The 23,674-nt window shown below is 42.6% G+C and overlaps 1 protein-coding gene and 1 long non-coding RNA gene across 14 annotated transcripts in view; both read left to right on the top strand.

Annotated features, from left to right (window-relative positions):
• The window catches only part of RORA (RAR related orphan receptor A), a 741,019-nt gene that overhangs the window by 111,273 nt on the left and 606,072 nt on the right, over positions 1–23,674 (top strand). The window lies entirely within an intron of this gene.
• The window catches only part of LOC107984805 (uncharacterized), a 129,290-nt gene that overhangs the window by 17,548 nt on the left and 88,068 nt on the right, over positions 1–23,674 (top strand). For 10 of the 12 annotated variants that reach the window (XR_007064660.1, XR_007064657.1, XR_002957761.2 and 7 more), the window contains exon 1: positions 1–23,674. This exon is cut by the window's left edge and continues 17,548 nt beyond it. This is a non-coding gene — a long non-coding RNA (uncharacterized LOC107984805). The other 2 variants (XR_007064659.1, XR_002957756.2) reach the window with 2 other exon arrangements.

The raw sequence follows: 23,674 nt of genomic DNA, 5'->3' as shown, positions 1-23,674 counted from the left end.
CAAACCGAATACGCCTTTGTTGAATAAATGTATGAGTCAATGAATGAGGTTGCAGAGTTATCAAGTGGAGGAGGGATTAGAACCCAGGTATCTTGAGCCCAAGCAATTTGAAGGTGTTTAAGCTAATTCTTTTGTATGTTTTTCTGGCTGTTTATGTACTTTTGAAGTCTTTATCTTTCTGTGTTAAAATATGTCTATCGTTATTGCATTTTACAGCATCAAAAATTAAGAATACTTACATTCTTCTACAAATTGATGCTTCAAAATAGAAAATTTGGAATTTCAGAAGCTCCAGTACAGTAACTAATCTGAAATTATTGATGCATTTTCTTTCGTCAGGGAATAACTTTGAAAGATTCAAATGATTTCAAAATCCAACTTTCTAACGTCTGGGAGAGAATTCCTCAAACACATTTAGCAGTCAAAACAATTCTATAGAGTATAAAAGATGAAGCATGGCACTTCGAAGTAAAGGTTACAGTTTCTATAAATGAGAAAAGGCCGAATATTTGCTAGCAAAATATTTTTAGCAGGAAAGAATTTACTTTGGGAGGTACTTAGGCATGTTATATTAATACTAATGTACAAGTTCAGCAATTTGTAGGAGTGGAAAGAATTGGATTAAAGTAAAAAGTTCTTAATATCTACACATTAAAATGGAGAAAAGTCTGTGAATGTGAACTTAATCAAATCATGGTAGATAAACAATTATAAGAACAGAATCTTTGAATGATTTTTTTTTGGATTTACTTACTAACATTAGCAGAATCTTTGTGCCTTGCAATCCTGGAGAGTTTTGTTTTAATCAGATTTGTTGGCTGAGGCAGTTTATGTTAAAAAAAAAAAAAAAAGTAACTTTTAACATCCAGCTGCTTTTCTGAGAATTACCCATCTATGAAAAAAAATGTAGCACCATTAACATTTATGAGAAACAGACTTAACATTATCATAAATTATACAGTAAACTCTCTTGGACTGGGATTGAAAGGTGTGTGTTTGTCTTTGAAGCTGATGTATTTTGACAGCACACCAGGAGGCAGCTCACTCTGAATAATGGGCAAGATGAGAGCCTCAGAGGAAAGAAATCACTCCCTTAAGTGAGCGTAAACCAGATAGGGGGTAAATGAACTTCCCCACCTGGACACATTGCAATTTTAGAAGCACTGATCACACGAGAAGTTAGCGCTAGCAGGGACCTAGGAGCCATTTAGTTATATTTTTTCTATTTACAAATGTGGAATCTGAGGCTCAGAAAAAAGAAAAAAAAATTCTCTCAGCTTCTTCCAGTATTTCAGGGGTAGAGCCAGGAACAGAACTCACCCAGCACCCAGTTCACCTCTCTCAGAGCCTGAGGAAAGCTCGTCAATGTTTTCAGTCTTTGCTTCTTCCTCCGTAAAATGAGCATATCATTTGAGCTTCATGCCCTCTCCAATTTGAAAGTGTCACATTTCAATGGCATTTGTAATCATCTGGGTAAGTTCTTTATTTCACTACCTTGTTGAATCAGTCACCTCAAAGGAATGGCCGCTTGGTCCAGGAATGGGGTATCCGGTGATAGGTGAATATGTTGTGAGGTGCTTAGGGGAAGAGGAAATGTGGGGGTCTTTAACTGCTGTTCTCTTATTTGTAGGGTAGCAATAGGTTGTACTGTAGGCCAGTGGTATACATAGCCAAGCCCTATACTGTTTTGTCTAAAACCCTAAAATCCTAAAACTGGGCTGACGGTTGGGCAGTAGGTCTGATAATTTGCTCAGGAGTCATCTCTTGGTTGAGCCTAATTTACTAATTTGCATTCCTATATTCACCGTCTTCATTCCAATGCCATCTGTACCACACCTGAATGATTACTCCATTTTCATAGCTAGTCTCCCTGCTGTCCCAATTCATCTTGCCCCTCACTGCTAAAATGGTTCATCCTGCGTCAAGAACAGTGGTGTTTTTTGTTTGTTTGTTTGTTTTTTTAAGTGCTGAAGGATCAACAGTGGGTTCCTATGGGACACCTTTACATTGCCTGGTCTACAGTGTTTCACTAATGGTGGATCTTTGACACTGAGTCACCTATCCAATTCATCTTGTCCCCTAGACACAGCTCACTTTTTTCTGCCCTACCCACGTAGCTTTCCTCTCTGCCAGTGCGAAACACAGCTCATGACTCACCTCCTAAAGGAAGCCCTCTGGAGCTGAGCCTCCTCTTGTTCATTACATCATGGCTTTTGGGCCCTTTGGGACCTCCTTGTAGAATAATTACTGGATCATTTAGTTCTGGTGCCCACATTGTTGATCCCCGCTTGGTTCAGAAAAATTGTGATGCTGAAATGGATCCTTCCTTCTCAGGGCTTTTTGGAGACAGCTTGAGTCCCCCAAACCATGTGGTACCGTAACTGAGGCATTTTCCTTCCCAGGGTACTTCTCCGGGAAGGCAGTCTTTTGGAGACTGGTACCTTATGAGGGAAAATGAGCCTATTTCCAATGCCATCTCTCTCTAATAAAGAGAAACCTCACTTCACTCTAATGCCACAAAAATGTGCTCTTGGCTTTCCTTGAGGGAGTCTGTTTTGGAAATTCCATGGTCAGAAGAAGCAGGGCTGTGGCCGGCAGGCTGTGTGGTGCAGCATGTCCAGGATCCAGTGTCCTGTCTTCTTAGTCAGCCAGGCTCCCTTTAAAGTTAGTGGTTTGCTGGGAGACCTCATGTGGGTTTTCATTTTAAATGGTGCTCTTGAATGTGGCTCCTATTTACATTTTTTTTTTTTTGGAATATCCATTACCAAGCCTTCATGGTGAAGCACCTCCCAGTAAAGGCAGCCAAATTAAAGGATGCGAAAGCCAGCTCCCTGGTGGACTCTGGAGATATGAAAGAGAGCAGTGTCTTCACTGGACCAGACCCAAGACTCTAAACCCGTGGGTGCTGGATCCCTGCAGTCCTCTAGGCTTCACTGGGGGTAGAGGAAGCCACAGACTCCTGCCACCAAATAGTGCCTACTGTACACGCAACATGTTCTGCTCTATCTTTCACATAAATGTAGTTGCTTCTGGGATTTAGAAATATTTTTTAAAGCACTGCTAAATAACTAGTCAGCGTTTTAAATGAATAGGTTAAAAGCATAACTCTAATGATGAGGGAGTTTACATAATATTTTGATGTCGTAAATGGACTCTTATACCGTCTGGGCCAAGAGCCAACATACGAAGGCCCTGGGGGTTGTCCTGACCATGTCTGTGTGGGCAAATATCGGTTGGGTCTCTAAATCAGAAGGAGTGCACTTGCTTGGGCTGATTGAAATGACAAGAACAAAGTATAGGGATAACCATCCGTGATGCAAGGCCAATTATATAACCAATTTCATCAGAGTGGGTTAGAACTCAGCATCTTGCTAAGCCATTTTTCAGGTTTAGCATTGGCCTATAGCATTTTTACTTAAGGAATCTCTGACTCCAAATACTTGCAGAAAAGGGACAGTAAGTTCTTTCATGTAACAGAGGTAAATATTAATCCCTGATTTCTTGCAGTCACAGCAACAAACATTTTAGTAAATATGGATACAGTAAACAAATCTGTATGAGAAACCAGGCCTAACAACACTGCATTTTTCTGCTAAAGATCATATTAACATAGGTCCCCACTCCCCTGTTTTTCATGGAATAGGGGATAAATTACCTGGTCTTTTTCCCCACCAAGTTTTTTAAAGCTAAAACTTACCTGAGCATTAAATGAGTTTGGAAGTGCCTGCTAGCTGAGGGGTAAAGCTGAAATTTCAGCCGTTTGTCACTCACTGCAGAGTTTGCTTGGGTTTGGGGGAGAGGGATGAGATGACATTGGATAGGCAAAGCAGTGACATCAGTCTCCTGGTGTTTAAAAAAAAAGTCTCTCCAGTTCCCTCTGTGGTGAGCCAAATTTTCAGTTTCACAGTTAAGTCTAAACTTAAAGCTTTGTTGGCTGAAATAAGAACTTTGCGGAGTGACATTTCTGTTTTCAGGGCTTCTGTTGAGACCATATTGCTGGCGTAGGAATTTAGCTTCATGGGACAGGAAACAGTTATAGGCTGTAGTGAGTAATGTTCCCCTATTTCAGATGGAAAAACATTGAAAATCATGATTTTGGCCCTCAAAGAACAGCTATTCGTGGCTGTCATGGTTAACTCTGTCTCTGACTTTGCCTTGGCAACGAAGGTCAATTTACCACGATAACAAGGACGTTGATTTTATGGCACTTGACATCTTAAAAGGTGCTGAAGTGCTTCACAAACTGGTAAGCAGACCAAACCAAATGTGCCTTCTTCTGAGCAGTAATCTCAAGAAAAGGTGAGGATGTATATATCCGCATGTGTGCACACGTGCGTGTGTGTGTGCATGTGTGTGTGTAGAATTTTAAAAAAACAGGCTCAGGAACTTCCTAGCTAGACATTTTAGGGCCCTGTCTGCAAAATGTGGACTTGGGAATAACCGCAGGCACTGGAGGCACCTGGTTTACGAAGAGCTGTATCATTCCAGCCTTTTTGTTTTCCTCAAGAGAACCTGACCTAGGGCCACAGGAGTTACTTTGTCATTTCCCACCATATTGTCCTGCTGAGCCAAAGAATGTTCTTTGTGGAGGTAAAGAAGCTCCCATATGATTTTTATGTTCCCTGCTGTCCTCAGAATCAAAGTTCAGGTCCTAAGCCTGGGAATCAGGGCCTCCATCTATGTCTTGGCCCCCACCTACTGTTCTGGTCTTACTTCCTGCATCTCTGGAGGCAGTTAGTCCTGAGTTCGAAACATCTTTACAAATCACTTCTCACTTACTTAAAAGCAAATGCAGCATTTCTGTACTAACTAGAAAGAGCAGAACACTTACCTTGTAAGGTTAGATTAAGGTCTGCATTTAATGAGCCAGAGGCACAAAATCTTACCTATTCCAGGGGGCAACCCATAGCAGGAGCCAGATGCAGCACAGCCCAGCAGAGCTGTCCCCAGGGTTGTGAAGAAGGTCTGCAGCAAGGCTGGGCTGTGCTAGACCTGGCAAGCCAATGCTTTCTGTTTACCTGCCCATTCATTCTCGTCCTTGGGCTCACATCACCATTCCAAAAGAACTTGCAGGACAATATTATGCCCACCACTTAAAGAGGACATTGACAAGCCTGACTCAGGCCCAGTAAGGCAACATCCTCGTCTAGGAGGAGACAGACAATAGAGTTGGTGCCCAGCTGTCCCTGAACGGCATCTGACTCCCGTCTGCCTGTGCTCTTGAAGCCCATTGCCCCGAGGGGCACTCTCACCTCCTATTTAATATCCTTCGTCTGTCTGGGAACGATTTTCACAAATCAGTGTCCCTGCAGGTAGTTGGAAGGAACAAATGAGATAATTCCCACCATGTTCTTAGCACAGAGCCTGGCTTGCGGTAAGTGTTCAATAAATGTTAGCTGCTATTATTATCGTTATTACTCACCTGCTCTGTGCTTCACAGAGCGTTAAATACGCGTGGCACCCTGCATAAACCCTTTACTTCCTGGCCTCAACCTTTCTCTTTGCCTCAAAACGTCCTTTCTCCTGTCTTTGCCTCCAAACCGTCCCCATCCTGTTAGGCTTTGCTCAAATGCCACTCCCCCTGGGGGAGGCTTTTCAGATTGCTTTCCGCTTCCCTTTCCCAGGCTGGAAACGCGCACACTCTCCTACTCTCCCTCTTTCCTGGCACTGTGCTACTTTCCTTTCCTGGAGCAAGGCTTCTCAGACTTTCTGTGGTCAAGAACTGGCCCCATGCCCCCCAGTCCATGACGGATCAATACTTGTATAAAGTACAATGTAAAAGAAAAAGGCAGTTAAAAATGCAAGCTCCATTTTTTATTATTAGAGTTAACAGACACAAAATTACACAATCACATATATGGGCAAGGTTTAAAAGGCTTACTCTCAGTTTCTGTACTTCTCTTGCCCCAGACCAACAATGACCAATTTGAGGACCGGCAGCAGTTCGTGGAGCACACTTTGAATAGTGTGGAGTTTACGTTATTCCCATCTGCACTGGCACAGTTACTCAGGTACTGTCTAATTCAGTGAACCCAACCTCCCACACCTGGCAGGAGGCTTATACACAGGGTTGCTCGATAAATTAGTTGAATTGAATGAATGAGTGAATAAATGAAAGCACAATAAATATTGAATGAATGAATAGATGATTGACTTGCTGAGCATATTTAAAACTCATAGTCCTTAGGAAGAATTTTCTTAATGAATAGCATGCCAAAGGGATTATAATTTTTTTATCTTTGCCTTTTATAAAATTCACTCATTTGCATTGCATATTAAGACCAATTCTTTTTCCTTAGTTTTTAAAACATTTTTATTTTCCGTCTGTGATAGCTAAATGGAGATAAGGTTTATACTTTCACAAAAATAAGGGCATACTTGGTAATATCTTCAGAAATAAGATAGGTGAGAATCTTAAGAGAACCCATACCTTATGCTTTAGTAAGAATCAGGATTTCTGAATTGAATAATTGCAAATTAGAGAGCAGAAGAAAGATATTATATACTTATATGTATATAAACTTGAACAGTTACCACTCAAGAGCCGTATTGAATTAACAAAAGTAAAAGTTTATTTTGTAGTGTTGCCATCAGTCACCAAATCAATGTTATTTGAAAAGAAAATCTCCCTACCCAGGTTTTCTTCCTCCTTGGGGAATACAGTGGTAATTCCCAGACTTGTGGTAAAGGAACCAGTGCACCAGTAAGCATGCCTTCCAATAATCACTGCATCTGTCTCAACAGAAGACAAAACCCAGCCCTACCTCCTCTAGAACTACTTAACGGAGGTTTTGAGATTTGAGGGTAAGCTATACACATTCTTCTCTGGAAATCACATACTGCTATTGTTCCTTCACCTTAAAAAGAGAAAATAAAATCAAATCGAGACCTGCAAACCATTCAGCCTCCTTCATTTTATTGTCTCACTATCTCTGGTCTCACTTTTCTGCAGACTTTCAAACTCACAACAATCTCTCCTTTTTTGGGGGAGGTCTACACTGCACAGTCATTCAGGCCAGGAACATTTGTGGAAGTCTCCTATGTGTGGAGCAGGAATACAGAAGGAAACAAGACACAAGGAAACAAACAACTCCACACATGTAGCTGACAGTTATTGCACAAGTCCAGGAGCGCCATATCCATGGGGAGAGAAGTGCAGGGCGTGCGGTGTATGAGGATTGCGTTGTGAATACTGATCCAGTTGGACGACAAGGAGCTCAGGGAAGGTTAGTGCAGGGAAGTGACATTTAAGGTCCAACAAGAAGGATGAGTAGAAATTTACCAGAGGAAGTAGTGGAAGAGAGTTCTAGGGCTTATGGATGACTCTATGACCATCAGGATCATCAGTATCACTCTCTTCCACACCCACATCTTGTCCCCCTGGCAGGTCTTCAAGGGCAATAACAGGCATTGAGCTGTCCTCGCCTATAACAGCAATGCCTCCTTCTGGAATATCTCTGGAAGGACCTGCCTGAGGCTGTTTTATAGTTATCATTTAAAAAAAATAAGAGTACACTCTAAAATGACAATATGAAGCATATTATAATAAATACACAAACCAGTAACATGGTCATTTATTATCATTACCATGTATTATATGCTGTACATAATTCTGTGTGTACTTTTTTTTTTTTTTGAGACTGAGTCTCGCTCTGTTGCCAGGCTGGAGTATAGAGGTGTGATCTCAGCTCACTGCAACCTCTGTCTCCTGGGTTCAAGTGATTCTCCACCTCAGCCTCCCTAGTATCTGGGACTACAGGTGTGCACCACCATGCCCCGCTAATTTTTGTATTTTTAGTAGAGGTGGGTTTCACCATGTTGGCCAGGATGGTCATGATCTCTTGACCTCGTGATCCGCCCACCTTGGCCTCCCAAAGTGGTGGGATTACAGGCGTGAGCCACCATGCCTGGCCAGTCTGTGTGTACTCTTATACAACTGGCAGTGCAGTAGGTTTGTTTACACCAGCATCACCACAAATGTGTGATTAACTCATTGCCATAAGACATTTTGATGGCTACATCACTAGGCAATAGGAATTTGTTAGTTTCATTATAATCCTGTGGGACCGCTGTCATATTTGGTCCCTTATTGACCAAAATGTCTTTATGGGACACATGACTGTAATAACAAATCACTCACAGGTACATATTAGTACTTAGAATGCCATAGGCACTGTTATTGTGGATCAAGCTCTCAGATACTATAATCACACCCATTTACAGATGGGGAAACTGAGGCACTGGGAAGGTAAATAACTTGCCAAGGTAACATAGCAAGGAAATAATGGAGTTAGGATGTGAACATTAGGCAGTGTTTCAGAGCGCATGCTTTTAACAAGCGTACTATTCTGCATGTGCCACAGGCAAAAGCATCTTAGATTTCTTTTTAGGTTTGTAGTTTCTAATACAGTGCTAAGTAAATCAACTCCCAATAAATGCTTACTATTTAATCAGGTTAGATTTAGTTATTCCATTGCCAAAGGGTGTTTATTTAATTGAAAACAAGATGGGCTGGATGAGGGTGTGCTGGCTGAACCATGTGATAACAGAGGCAGTGAGGTGTTGACTGAAACCACCTGGTTTCAAATCTCTGCGTGTCACTTTGCCAGTACCAGGATAAATCCCGTGGCCTTTATGGGAGAACTTTCATTCATTTATCAAATTTTTGTTGAGTGGCTACAATGTGCTAGCCACTGTTCTAAGTTCCAAGGACTCAATAGTAAACCAAACAGACAAAACCCTACCCTTGTGTATCTTACATCTTGCTCACATGACAATACACGTAACATGCTTAGCACAGTGCTTATGGTACTGGTTAATATTATTTATTTTTTTGAGAGGAAGTCTTGCTCTGTCACCAGGCTGGAGTGTAGTGGCGCGATCTAGGCTCACTGCAACCTCTGCCTCCTGGGTTCAAGCTATTCTCGTGCCTCAGCCTCCCAAGTAGATGGGATTACAGGCGTGCACCACCACACCCAGTTAATTTTTGCACTTTTAGTAGAGACAGAGTTTTACCATGTTGGCCAGGAAGTCTCAGTCTCCTGACCTCATGATCTGCCTGCCTTGGCCTCCCAAAGCGCTGGGATTACAGGTGTGAGCCACGGTGCCTGACCTGTTATCATCATATGGTGCTGCTGGTTAGTGCTTTTTACAGACAGTATTGGCACATTCCTAATTTTTTGGTAGGGTGTGTCAAATGAGATAGCAAAACAGGGTTTGTAGATGGTGATGGCAAATTAGATCATAAAAGGTGATTATCGTTCTTTGAAGGTCTCCAGAATGACCACTGTTGAATTAATCATACAATAAAAATTGGCTTTAGGTTTTAAGATAGCCAGCATGTTTTCCTCAAACCTTAGAGTAGTAATTTTGATACTGTGCATTTTAGTGGTAATGGTTTAGTAGTAGCAAAGGTCTACAGACGTTTCCGTAAATGGCCATACAGTAAATGTTTTAGGATTTGCAGGCAATGTGGTCTTTCTTACAACTACTCAACTCTGCCTGCTGCTGTAAGAAGAAAGCAGCCATAGATAATATGTCAACAAATCGGTATAGCTGTGTTTCCAATAAAGTTTTATTTATATAAACAGGCATTCAGCCCACAGGTCAGTTTGCCAACCTCTGTTCCGGAAGAAAGTAAAAATTCTGTTAGCAGTAACATTGTGCAGGGGATCAGCTTTTTAAAAGAAAACATGAACTAATATTAAAAAAAATCATTGGCTCACTGCAAAGTCACAAGACTCCTTAGACACTTAAGAATCTGAATTTGACTTCTGATGGTTTAAGTTTACTATTTTGCATGACCTTATTTTCTGACTGGTTCAAGATCAGGATCGGTACTAGGGATCACTTAAGGAAGAAATTTCAAGAACCTGGAAGGGACATCTTCTCTGGAATAGAACCAGAGGAGATAAACTATCCCATGGACATTTGTATTGGGCCCTGAAGGAATTTTCAGCAGTGAGGGCTTTGCAGAATTGAAATAGAAGGGTTATCGCTGAACAGGATTTTCTTTCTCTAGACATTTTAAAATCCGGAGAAGTCCTACTCTGGCAACTGGTCAATACAGAGTTATTAATTACTCACTGATTAAAATTTTCTACTTTTTCTGTATCTTGTCCAATATGGCTTGTTTTTGATCTGGTCAGAAGGTTACTGGTGGATGGAGTGAATGGATAGTGTATTCTCTCTGGGATTCGGTGTCCAGGTTTAAGCCAGAGTGAAGTCTTGTTAAATTGCAATAAGGGAGAGGAAACCATCTGAAAGAGAGAAAAAGAAGCATTTTCTAATGTCTTTCAAGAAATGAAATTTTATTCAAGGGCCAAAAGAGCCACAGGGTAATGAGACCATGACCAGCAAACACCTATACTAGATAAAAGTAAATTTTAATTAACATATCAATAGTTTGTAGATCTTAGGTGCTTCCAGAGTGCTTGAGGTTGTTTGACAACTTTTTCTTCCCTTAAGCTCTTTTGCTTTCTCTTTGAAGATCTATTTTAAACAAAGAGAACCCCTGTTCCAATCTATTTTGATCTCAAGGATGTCTGATTTAATGTAATTTTCTCACGTTCCTACCAACTTGCCCAAGGTGAGGAATAATTTACTTTGTTAGAGCAAAAGAACAAAGAACTTTTTGGGAAATGGAGAATAGTGGACTTCCTTTAAAAATAAAAAAAGTACTGCAGTTTCGTACATCCTGGCAAAACTGCCACCTATCATTTTTAAACTTTTGCATTCTTAGATGGTCTTACTTGGATTTAAGACCTTTGTGAGTTTGTTCAAATAGGCAGTCATGCAAAAAGAGCCTGCGTTTTCTAATGGTGGTCTCCTGTGTGTTTAGCTTTGGTTGATGGGCGTATTAGAAACAAGCAGAGCACGGGTGATTCCAGCTCATTGGATACAGCAAGTAATTACCTCCCTGCTTTTGGAAACAGTTAAATATACTCCCACTCCAGCAATGAATGTAGCCAGGGCCAAGGTGGGCAGATGCTGGCTGCTCAGTGACCATGTTCAGGATGATGTGTGTAGGAGGAGAGGAAGGATTCCAAGAAGACTCAGTACCTTCTTCTAGGATTATAAGGATTTAAATAGGCCTGAGGGAAGGACCCAGCACATAGCACGTGTTCCATAAAGGGCACTTTCCATCCTTATCCCCTCTTTCTACTTTGAACTGCTCGTAGGAAGACCTACTTTAATTCAAATAAAAATGCATTTGTGTTAAACCTGCGGCAGAAGATTCAAGGGCCCTTGGCCTCCCAGGGTTTATAAATAGATGGAAAGATGTATATACTGAGAAAAAAAGTGAAATGAGAGTTATGCAAGTAGAGATGACTGTATTTGACAGCACAGGCCATGCAAATGTGAGGTGAGTGGTAAAATCAGTGTGAAAAATAGACAATGTTTGAGAAGTATAGATGGGAGGAGGGGGAGCTGGTCCAGAATGGTTAAGGAAGGCTTCATGGGGGTTGTGTGATTTGACCAAGGCCTTCATGGGTGAGTAGGATTTGGATGGATGGAACAAAGGGGATCACAGGTGGAGAGAGTTACAAGCTCCTAAAAAGCTGGTTGTGTTTTAGTTTTTTAGTTCATTGTCCTGTGTTTGGTAAATACTTAACGGATGGTTATTAAATGAATGAGTAATTATTTTGATTGCTTTTTCTCCTCTGAACTTAGTCTATAGCACACAATTAAAACTCAATTCTGTATGGTCTCACCTCATCAAGGCAATTCTTTCCTGTCTGGCTATACTATTAATACCTTGTGGGAAAGGCCCATGTGTAATATTTTTCATCCTCTCTAGTAATAACTAGAATGTTGAACATGTAGCAGATGCTGCCTAAACTCTTTCTCATTGAACAAGATGGTCAAAGACACAGGATGCTAAACTTTGATGAGAACTAGTGTTTCTTTAGGGCCCTTTAAGAAACAAATCATTGTGACCATAGATTGCTTTGCTACCAGGAAGAGCAGACCTACCTCCAGGGTCTGCCTGACACCAGTGGGAATGAACCCATATACCACTTTTGAGAATCTCCTTGCCAGCTTATGAAGATAAACCTGTGTTTTCCTGGCAACTAATTTTGTAGATGAACTTGGTCCATGCTGCTTCTCCATTATGTCAACTTTTCACCATATAGGTTTTTGATGGTCTCACCTGAAGAATGGAAGTGGAGCTAATAATTACCTAGTATCTACCATGTGCTTTAACTTCCGCAGTAGCCTTGTAGATATCACTTTTGTTCTTTTAAAAGAGAGAAGCTCAGAGCATGTAAGTGGCTTGGTCAAGGTCACATAATATGTCATGATAGATGAATTTGAACCTAGGACTCTGAGCTAGAGCTGCATTCCTTACATTGTGTTATGGTGTCCACATGCCCCTGCATTTTCATGCATTACTAGATTTGAATAATCAGAGGGGAGATAAAAGAAGCTATTTTAGATGAGGGGCAATCGTTGAGGCACAGTCAACCAATGACCTTGGCAGAAGAGGAGAGTACCTTTGAGGGGATTAATAATAAATAATCTTGAATTCCTATGATTGGGTGAGATTCCATTACAGATGGTTTTGGAAGACTTCAGACTTTATGAAATATCATGGGAACCACTGGAAAATGTTTAACTAGAGGTATGACATGATAAAATTATTAATTAATCTAATAATTAAACACACTTAGTGAGTATATATCATGTTCCGTGTTGGAACAAATCACACATTCTTCCTGCTCTCATGAAACTTTTATTCTAGTGGGCAAACAGACCTTAGATAAATAATTTCATAAATACTATATATAATACCCAAGTATGGAACATGCTTCATTATAAATGTAAAAGGTCTGTGAGAGTATAAATTTTAGACCATCCCTCTCCTGAGAAAGTTACTTTTGAGTTGAGATCCCAAGAGATGAGTAAGGGTTAACTAGCTGTATTAGTCCACTTTCATGCTGCTGACAAAGACATACCCAAGACTGGGTAATTTATAAAGAAAAAGAGGTTTAATGGACTCAGAGTTCCACGTGGCTGGGCGGTGGGGGGGGCGCCTCATGATCATGGCAGAAAACGAAAGGCACATCTTACATGGCAGCAGACAAGAGAGAGTGAGGACCAAGTGAAAGGGATTTCCCCTTATAAAACCATCAGATGGTTCAGTATGGGGGAAACTGCCTCCATGATTCAATTACCTCCCAATGGGTCCCTCCCACAGTATGTGGGAATTATGGGAGCTATAATTCAAGATGAGATTTGGGTGGGACACAGCCAAACCATATCACTAGGTAAGAAGAGGGCTCCATGCTAAGGAACAGGATATGCAAAGACCCTGTGGCAGGAGGAACTCTACCTGCTTTTTTGAAGAATTCCATAAGGTAGCCTTCAGTGGAGCTGAGTAGAGAGTGGGGGAGAGTGGGCTAAAACATGAGGGGAGAAGTAGGCAAAAGCTAAATCTCATCAGGACCTTATAGACAATTGACAGATGTTTGTCTTTATCCAGTAAGGTGTTTGTATGCTCCTTAAGTGGCAGCGGGGAGTGAGCAGAGCAGTGAAGATAAACATGAAAGCTGGTGGTAACAAATTCTGATACCTCCTCTATTCCAAAAGGAAAGGCAGAACTCAGAGGCACCATCCTCCTGTTGTGTTTGCAAGCTGTTGACACAACCTGGAAAGGTTAAAAGTTTTCAACAGACTTGTCAGAGTTTGTGTTCAATGGAAACTGACAGAGCCTACCGGCTGAGGGGCTAATTTTAATAGAAATAACCTAGGTGCGTTTGTTAATTTTCTCCGTTCCCTCAATGACCTGTCTGCATAGCGTGAAGGTGCTTTGATGTGACCAGGAGAACAGAAGGATATTTTGTGCATAGCTGACCGTGAGAGGAATGCTGGTTTTGCAATGAGGAAGCACAGGAAGATGACAGGTGAGTTGGGTGGAAGGGGAGATGAGAACATGCATCATGTGGCTTTTCCCACCTCCCCAAATGCAGCCTTGTTTATCTAAGATTCATCTTTCTTCTCTCAGAGAATTAACTTTTGTGAGTTTAGCGTGTCCATAGTTGCCAAGGAAATTAAACAAATTGGCCAAGTGTGAACATCAGGGGAGGGGAAGAAGCCCCTGCTACTTCCCTCTGATTCAGTGAGTTTGTTGCTGGTTCTCTTTGGTTTCATAAACCTTGTGGTGCTTGCCGAGGTCTTTTTAGGTCCAAGTGGCAGGGCACATTCTGCCTGTGTAAATGGACGGGGTGGGGGATGGCCTCTTTCCTACATGCAAATGATCCTGGTGTTGCCCACACATAAAGGTCTTTATCTGCTGGCTGCCATATCTGGATCTGTTCTGGGGGTGAGTTGCCAGGACAGTGTGAATGCCCTGAGAATTAGAATGGAGCCCCAAACGTGTGCACACTCTGACTTTGAGTCGTTGAGGTCTCCTAGCAGTGGCAGGCAGAGCCTCCTTAGTGGTAATGGAGCCAGACACTCTGTGGGCACCAGGGACAAGGTCATGGTGTGTGTGTTGGTGGTGGGCTGCAAAGTCAGCTCCATGTGGGGAGGGTTCTGCTGCAGGGGGCACCCCACCCTCCCTGTGAGTTCTTGGAGAAAGTTCTTAACCCCATGGATTATTTCTGGAAAGTGGAAGTCATTACACTGAGTTTACCGGAATCAAAGGAGTAGTAGGAGCAATGAGGTCCTGGATAACCCTAAATTTATCCAGTTAACTCTTAATTGTCTGGGGACTGGTTACCCATGCAGTCATGGTGAAGGCTCCCTCCTGCCTGCCCCAAAGCAGCCTGCTGATGCTCACAGCCCATCCTCCACTGCCAAGTTCCTCAGCCCCGCCCAGGAGAGGAGGGCAGCCCACATCTCACCATGCCTTCTCCATGGTTGCTTACAACATTGCTTTCTCTCATACTCCAGAGCACACTGCGCTTGAGTTACCCACCTAAAATAAGTGAAAGGAGTTAGGGAATACGGGAGATAGGAACGTGTCTGAATAAAGACATTTATTAAACAGATATCTCCCTGCCAAGCATATAGTAGGCACTCAATAATTTTTGTCTATCTTTAACCTCACTGGGCATTCAAAATTAAGAGACATTCATATTCAAAATACAGAATGATTCTTAAACAAAGTACTGGAGTTTCTTGCTGGGGCTTGGAAAAGCCTCTGTTGGTCCTCTTTAAAAAAGCATCCAGTCTATTAACTGGGAGGAATCTGAATGTGTAACACGCTGTCATGTAGGGAAAAGAAGGGTCAAGCAAGAAAAGCTAGATTAGAATGTTGTATGTTAAAGAAAGAAAAACTAGGTGCATGCTTCAGTGTAGGAGGCATCCCTGGAAAAGAGCAGGTTGAGTGATTGTGAGGATTAAGCGCACCAGCCCGGGGATCCATGAGCAGAACCAGGAAGTTGTGGGTACACAGAAGAGGAATTTGGATCAGTTCTCCAGCAAGAAAACAAAAATGTGCTTTTGACAGTAGGGGCCATATCAAAAGGAAATTGGATATCAAAGGATGTTTTAAGAAGAGCTTTGGATGTCAGGGGCCTGGAGCAGAGGGAATACAGAGCAAAAACGAAAGGCTTGGGAGGCCAGAGGTCCTCAGCTGTGGCTCTGACAGTTGGGGCAGCCAAGGCCAGAACTCACAATGGGAAGCAGGGCTTTTCTTTTGTTCTTTTAAGGGAGGGATGTTTATAGGCCACTCAAGGAAGAGACAGAGACATTAGATTTCACTGCCTGTGTGACGTTTTGTAGTCCACTCATTGGCACCCCTGAGCTTGTCAAGTCAGTCGGGTTGAGGGGGGGCTTCTCATATGGAGACCCCAAGAGTGGGTGTCTGCACCCTGCTGACAACTGCTGACAAGGAGGAAAGCACAGATTCTCTCAAGCATCCACTTTCCTCAGTGGGGCAATGACACGGGCCGGGGTGCAGAACCTTGTGCTGAGGGCTGGGAGAAATGTATGTGTAGCTTGTGCCAGAACTAGGATCCGGGGGATGACCTGGGGTTTGTTAGGGTGTGTTCTTAACCAAAGCCCCGCCTTCCCTGTGTGCCTTGGGAGATGGTTTGGGAGCTGGGCAGGCTAGGTATTCCAGGTTAGCTCCGAGCACACACAAACCCAGGCACACATTGCACCTCTGTCTCATATGGATTCTATCACCAAGACCCTGAGAATTACTTCCAGCATTCATAGCAAACCTGTCTGCTGTCCCCACCCGGTCCAGGTCCTGACCCTGACTCCCAGTGGCCCTCTGTACCATCTCCCACTTTTGCCCTCTGCTGTCCACCTCCTTTTCCTCCACCACACACAGCAGGGAGAATGTCCTTTCGGAAATGCACATCTGGTTCTGTCACTCTCCTGCTTGAAAGGCTTTCTTTTCCCCTGAGGACAAAATTAAAAGCCCTTTACCAGGTTTACAAGGCCTTGTGTGACGTTATTTTCTTATTTTAAAGGAAGGATACTCAGAGAAAAGAAGGGGAGATTCGATTTTAGAGAGATTCAATTTCTAGGATCATTCCAGTTTACCCTTCCTGCTGCTGAATTCTAGCCATACTGATCTATCAGTTTCGTGAATGTATCATGCTCTTCCCTACCTCGGGGCCCTTGCACATCTTGTTCCCAGTGCCTCGAAATTTTTATCTTATTCTCTCCACAGCTGACCCCTACTGATCCTTCCAGTCTCAAAATAAACAAGCCTTTTTTTCAGTCTCTCATGACCCTACTTTGCTTCCATTTACTTTGTTACAATTTCCAACTGGATATTCATTTATGTGATTACTTGTTCATTGTCTGTCTTCTCTATTAACCGTCCCTACCCTAAGAGGAGGGGCCATGTCTGTTTTGTTCATCTGGATGTCTTCCGTATATTTTAAATGTTGGTTGACTAGAACAGTGAATGAATGAGTGATTTGTAACAGGTTGCTGTGACTCTGTACTTTCATGGAGAAGAATTTCAGCAGCTAGTCACTGTTAACTTAATTTGTTCTCTCTACAAGCATCTGATGAGCAGTTAATATGTGCAAGCTAAGGCACATTATCTATCTTCAAGGAGATTCTGGTGAAAGAGACAGTCATAAACTATCAATCCACACAGTAGAATAAGTGTTACAACAGAGTTATATACAGGGTGGTCTGAGTACATAGTTTCTCATGCTGGTGTTCCAGGTAGTATAATTTTCTGAAATTAAAGCTGGTAAGAATCAACATACCGGGGATGTGATTAACCATTCCCAAATCTCAGAAAGACATTAGCCTAAACTGTAAGGAGTGTAAGATAAGCCGTGCTCTAGTTAATTGTAACTGAGGGCATGTGCTGGTGATAGATAATGTGATGGCTGATAAAGAATACTGAAAACCAGAGCCACGGGAATGTGTCATGGCCCCTTTCCATTAGGGGGAGTGCAGCCCCATGCCAAATGAATGGTCCCAGCTCTCTAGCCACAGGTGGCTCTGAAGATTTCTAGCCACAGACACCCCTGGACAACACAGTGAGACCTCTCTAGCCACAGATAGCCCTGGAGCCCTGAAGTGGAGAAGGGCACACTGTTCTGCTTCTTCCATGTACAGCCTGTTCTTCCAGCTTTGCAAAATGCTCTGATAAATTAGGAGAACACTTTAAAAATTGACCGCTCAGGCCGGGCACCGCTGGTCATGCCTGTAATCCTCGTACTTTGGGAGGCCAAAGAGGGTAGATCATCTGAGGTCAGGAGTTCAAGACCAGCCTGGCCAACATGGCAAAACCCCATCTCTACTAAAAATACAAAAAATTAGCTGGACCTGGTGACACGTGCCTGTAATCCCAGCTACCCAGGAGGCTGAGGCAGGAGAATCGCTGGAACCCGGAGGCGGAGGCTGCAGTGAGCCGAGATCGTGTCACTGCACTCCAGCCTGGGTGACAGAGTGAGACTCCATCTCAAAAGAAAAAAAAAAAAAAAAAAAAGAAAATTGACCATTCATTCCCAGATGTTGGTGGGGAGAGGAAAGGAGACAATTTCTGGCTCTTTTGAATTCTATTCCTATAATTTAAGATGATTGACTACTTTATTAGATTTAGTATCAGACTTGTTTCCTTCTTTTTAAATTAAGTTTGACAAAAGGTAATAGCAGTGAACCCAAGTTTACTATTTTAGAACTGTCTTCACTAACTAGAAAGATGACCTTTAGATAGTTACTCCAGGAGTGTCCTACAAACGAATTTCATTCACCTAAGGGTAGAAGGATTTGAACTTTGTTTCCTGACTTGATGAGTATTTCATGATAAACCAGTTCTGGCCCATTAACTTCATTTCTCAAAACACAGGTTTAAAAAGAGCGTTTCCTCAAGGAGTTGCCATTAAAAATGGAATGAATCCAACTTGCTGGAAATAAAAATGGCCAGAGCTGAACATGGTACACAATTGTGATGAAAAGAGCTTGTTTTTTCGGTAGGAGGTATGCGTTGCGTGTGTTGGTTTTGAAGTAATAAGTAACGTTTTATAGATAACCACCAACCTGTGTCTGGTCAGCAGTCTAATGTCCCACTACTGTCAAGGATGCCTGTGATGTGTGAGCTTACCTTTCCATTCTCCTTGTATCTTTCCTGATTTATCTAGAAAATTAAATAAATAGGGAGGTAATGTTCCAAGGAAAGGTTTCCCTTCCCTCACTGGGGATTTAGTGGGGGACAGTATAGACTGTCCTTTAGGAGATAATTAGAACTGACATCTACAGAACCATCTAAACCTTGCCCAAACTTTGCACTGGGAGGTTGTGAACCGGAACCTCATTACTGAATTCCATATTGTGGAGTGTGGTCTCATCCAAGGAATGTCTGCAATTCCCATTCCAATCTGAGTAAACAGTCAGTTATGAACAGTCACTGGGGTAAACCGTAATTAGATATGTTCTTGAGGTTTTTAGAGTGATTCTTTCATACCTTTGTAAAATTGACAATACGTGAAAGATAAAAATTTCCCCACAGATATTTCAGCTAATTACTCCTTCTAGGTAAAGATTGGCCCCATTTCTTGGTCTGTCTGATGATGACTTTTCATTTTCTGCCGTAAACGAACCTAATTTGCAAATGAAAAATTTCACTGAAGCGTACGTTGCCTGCAAGGGAATTACAGCCCGGAACCTTTGGAAGTATTCAGTAGAACACGCAAGAGAATTTTAAACAAAAGACTTATGCTCTTAATTCACACAGTTAAAATAACGATTGCTCCTAAGCAGTACTTATTATTTTTAAGTTTAGACATTCCAATAACAGTAATCAAGAGGAGTTAAGTTCACTTTAAAGCAAAGCAAAGGAGGAGTAACTGTCAAAACTTGCTTAATATTTCCTGTTTGTAGGGTGAGATTTTCCTCAGATCACACCACATTCCCTTGTCGATACATGGAAGCCCTTTACAGCTTGATGTTAAGAATAGGAGTAGCAGGCTGGGTGTGCACACCTTTAACCCTAGCATTTGAGGAGGCCAAGTCGGAAGGACTGCTTGAACCCAGGAGCTCGAGACTAGCCTGGGCAACATAGTGAGACTCCTGTCTCTACAAAAAATACAAAATATTAGCTGGGCATGATGGCATGTGCCTGTAGGCTTAGTTACTCAGGAGGCAGGAGTGGGAGGTCACTTGAGCTCAGGATTTTGAGGCTGTAGTGAGCTGTGATCACGCCACTGCACTCCAGCCTGGGTGACAAAGCCAGACCTTGTTTCTTAAAAAAGTAGAAAAGAAGGAATGAAGAAAGGAAGGAGGGAGACAGAGAGGGAGGGAGACAGTGAGGGAGGCAGGGAAGGAGGGAAGAAGGGAGGGAGAAAAAAAGGGGGGAGGGAGAAAAGGGAGAGAGGGAAGGAAGGAGGGAGGGAAGAAGGAAGGAAGGAGACAGGGAGGGAGGCAGGGAAGGGGGAAAGGAAGGAAGGGAGGGAGGGAAAGAAGGAGGGAGGGAGGGAGAGAAGGAAGGAGGGAGGGAGGGAAGGAGGAAGGAGGGGGAGAAGGAGGGAAGGAAGGAAGGATTAAGGAAGGAAGGAAGGAAGGAAAGATGGAAGGAAAGATGGAGAGATAGGAATAGCAGTTCCCTTCTAGGCCCAACATACCAGGCAGAAAACTTGGGTTCCAGTCTTAGTTCCTGCAGTTATTGACTCTGACTACTGAGAAGATTCTTTGCCTTGAGTATCAGTTTTCTCAACTGTGAAGTTGGAATTAAAAGGCCAAGCATTCTTGTGCAGACTGAAATGATCCTGTATTCAAAAGCTGCAATGGTACATTGGGAATGAAGAGTAATGGTGTATCAGACTTAATTAACACTAGTTAGTCCTTGTGGTTTAGGGCAGGTGAAGTCACGATTTACAGCCCAGATAGATGTATTTTAAAAATTAAAAACAGCCAGAGAAATTATCCAAGAAGAAATTCTACATTTGTCACCTCCTTTGTACTGTACTTGAGAACTTTATTTTATCCACTTATTTATTCCAAAGATACTAATTGAACTCCTACTCTGTGCCAGGTACTGAGGATAAAATTGTAAGTAACACAAAAGTCCCTGCTCTGATGGAGTTTACCTTCCAGGCAGAGGGAAGATGACAAGCAGAAAGTCCTGGAGCCCCCTTGGAGAACAGGGTGGCTACTGTGAAGGGAGGGAGGAGAGGGATGACAGAACTGAGGTCAGAGAAAGAGGCAAGGCCAGAAAATGTGGGACCTTGGTAAATCCTGGGGAAAGTTTGCAGCAAATTCCAGGTATGTAGCAATTCCTTTTATTTATTTTGCATGCAGAAAGCCTATTACAATTTAGATATTTAACCAGCCCAATGTGCTGGAAAGCAGACCAGTCAAGACAGGCTCCTCCCTCCTTTCACTCCTGTTTATTTGCGAGTCAGTCTTTCCCGACTTTCTGGACCCTGCTCAAATCCTGCTTCCTCCACAAGCTCTTCCACAGTCTGCCCCATCGGAAACACTCCCCCTCTTGTTTGCTTTTTCCTCTTTGTAGTACTTCTCACATTCTGCCTTGTTTTAAAATTCTTCATGTTGTTCACCCTTAGTAGAGTAAGAGCCTCTGGATGCCAAGACCTTGTGTTACTCACTATTTTTTATTTTTTGTATCCATTGCCATGCACATGTGCCTTCTACATGGGCGATGCCCAGTAAATATTTATCGATTTGAAATAACTCAAATCTGTATATCAGGCTAGCAGAGAAGTGTTTCCCAAAGCGCTGCACCAGAGAGAAGCTGATCTGAGGGCACGATGGGAAATGTATCACGAACACTCACAAAATGGCTCCCCAGTGTGTATTTATCCAGATGTCCTTTTGGGATGGGACAGGACCGGTTTTTAATGACTCTGAGCTGCCTTCCCTAGGCACTAGGAGCCTACATTTTGCTGACTGTGGAAGCTCTTTGTGTGAGCTCCACGGGCAGCTGTGTGCAAGGAAGATCCAGCTCTTGTCTCATCCCTGGAAGCTTGGACAAGTCAGTTTCCCCATCTCTGAAATGGGGATTATAACCTCTCTCATGGGGACTTGGTTGTAACAGATAATCTTGTGGACTATTTTGTTAAGAAAAATAAAGATTTATGGTATTAAAATATGTATGCATGTCTAAAATAGCTTCCAGTGCTATCTGGCTGTCTTTGCCTGAATTTTACTATGTCTGTAAGTGAGATTCAGCATTTTCTTTTGGACTGTGAATTGTCGCTACTAAATGAGCTTATCAGTCTCTGGGAAGGAACAAAATGTCATTGGATTTGCCCCATGCTGCACTGCTTGTGAACTTATACCAGAGCACACTGGATAAAGCATGTACCCGATTCCGAGAAGGCTGCAGCTCTATAAGGGACAGTAGTGTACACAGCCATTCCCCAAAGCCACCTAGAAGAAACTTCAGGAGCCTTCACACCTGGCTCTGCCTCACACTCCCCCAATGTGGGTGTGGGCCTGGTAAGGTGCTGTCCGCATGGGGTCTTGCCTTCCTCATCTGCAAAGCCTCAGCTCTGGGATTCACCAAGAAGAGCCAATCTCCTGCTCCTCTCACTTCTTCCACTTGCAGACAAGCTTTTGGACTCTGCCCTTTGGCTTGTGATTCATAATTCCAAACCCCCTATCAATGATCAAATAAGCAGCAGGAAGTAGCAGTCCAGATCCTTCAGGGGCCATCTCATCATTCTGAGGACCAGGCCTTTAGTAGAAAAGATGGGCCAGTTTGGAAGTTGTCCTGACTTTTAGAAAGTAGTTTGTGTCCCAAGGGGCCCCTGGGTGTTTGTTCAGGGCCTGTATGGGCTGCCTCAAAAGGCCAGGAGGTGATGGAAAATCATGGACCTTGGGGTCCTCCAGTCCCCAGCACTCCACCTCGAACAAGCATCCTTATTTGTAATCTGATTTGCCTATAGGATTCTGCATAAGATTTTGCTTAAGCAAAGGGTTCTGCTGCTTTTTAAAAAGTGCTCAAAACCTCTAGTTTATATACTTTTAGATTTTGTGTCCTTGCACAACCTCATTCTCCATAAGATTGGAGAAAGCATTTGTCACCAGGGCCCAGCCCGCAGACTGAGTTGATATTTACAAAGTAGCCAAGATTCCTCAGATGGGTAGGCATTAACCTTGTTTAGTTGAATGCAGTCTTTTCTTTATTGGTTTTGTATGTAACTTCCTTTACAATTATTAGTACATATTATTAAAAGCTCTTTCTTTCCAGGAAATAAGCCTTTTAAAAGGCATTGTCTTTTTTAAAAGATAGGTATTTTAAAAAATATATTTTTGGTAAATAAATTCCTACTGTAAGTATCTAAAATACTTCTAAAAACTACCCCCTATGATCATCTCGGCATATACCCTTCAGAGCATTGCAGCAGCCGCCCACCTGAGCATTCTAGCTTATCCCTGGGCAAGCCAGCTCAGCCTCCAGAACACCAAAAAAATCTTTCAAAACCAAGGACTGACCAGGGCCTTCCCTGATTACAGCTTTACACCTTTACACCCAAAGGACATTCTGTTCATCCATGCCCTGAATTCTCTGATTCATCCAGTAACCTTTATTGAGTCCCCATGATATTCCAGGCACTGTCCTGAACACTGAAGAAACCAGGTTGATGCAGAAAGACTATGGGCTCTCAAGAAGATGCAGTGCTTTTTTCCTGGAATCCTCTTCCCCTTTTCTCTGCCTGGTGAAACCCGCTCCAGTAGCATCTTTTCTGAATTCTTCCTCAGGCAGAGGAACGCCTCTTTCTCATTGCTGAGGCATATGCCCATGTATCTGTTGTTCTTCTACCTAAGGTTTGCTGCAAGTAGTTGTCTGCTGGGTGCACCAAGCCCCTGAAGGGCAGTAACTGGGTCTTCTTTGTGATTGTATCTCCAGCATCTGGCTCAGCCCTGGATACCCAGTAGTGGCTCAAATAATGTTTTCTATTTCCTTCCTGATCTTTCCTATCTGTGCTGGAAATAACTAATTCCTTCTCAATTTTGTCTTCCCCACAGAACAATGAGCATAAGACATGCTGGGTGCATTTTTTGGACCTTACCACATCTTGTTTGAGAGAAGTGGGACCAATGCTGATGAAACTCTTTCCCATGGTGTGTTCTATATTCATTGGATGGGCATCGCCTACGGCTGGAGCAGGGCTGAGCTCTGTACTGGTGTCTCTTAAAACACACCAGACAGCAACAGCTGAGATACCTACTACCTGGATCTGCTTGATTAGATCATACGGTCATATTTGATTACTTAGAATGG

Source organism: Homo sapiens, chromosome 15, assembly GCF_000001405.40.
Source record: "Homo sapiens chromosome 15, GRCh38.p14 Primary Assembly".
NCBI classification, from domain to species: Eukaryota; Metazoa; Chordata; class Mammalia; order Primates; family Hominidae; genus Homo; species Homo sapiens.
The sequence above is the reverse complement of the archived record's forward strand: the minus strand, read 5'-3'. Positions and strand labels throughout refer to the sequence as shown.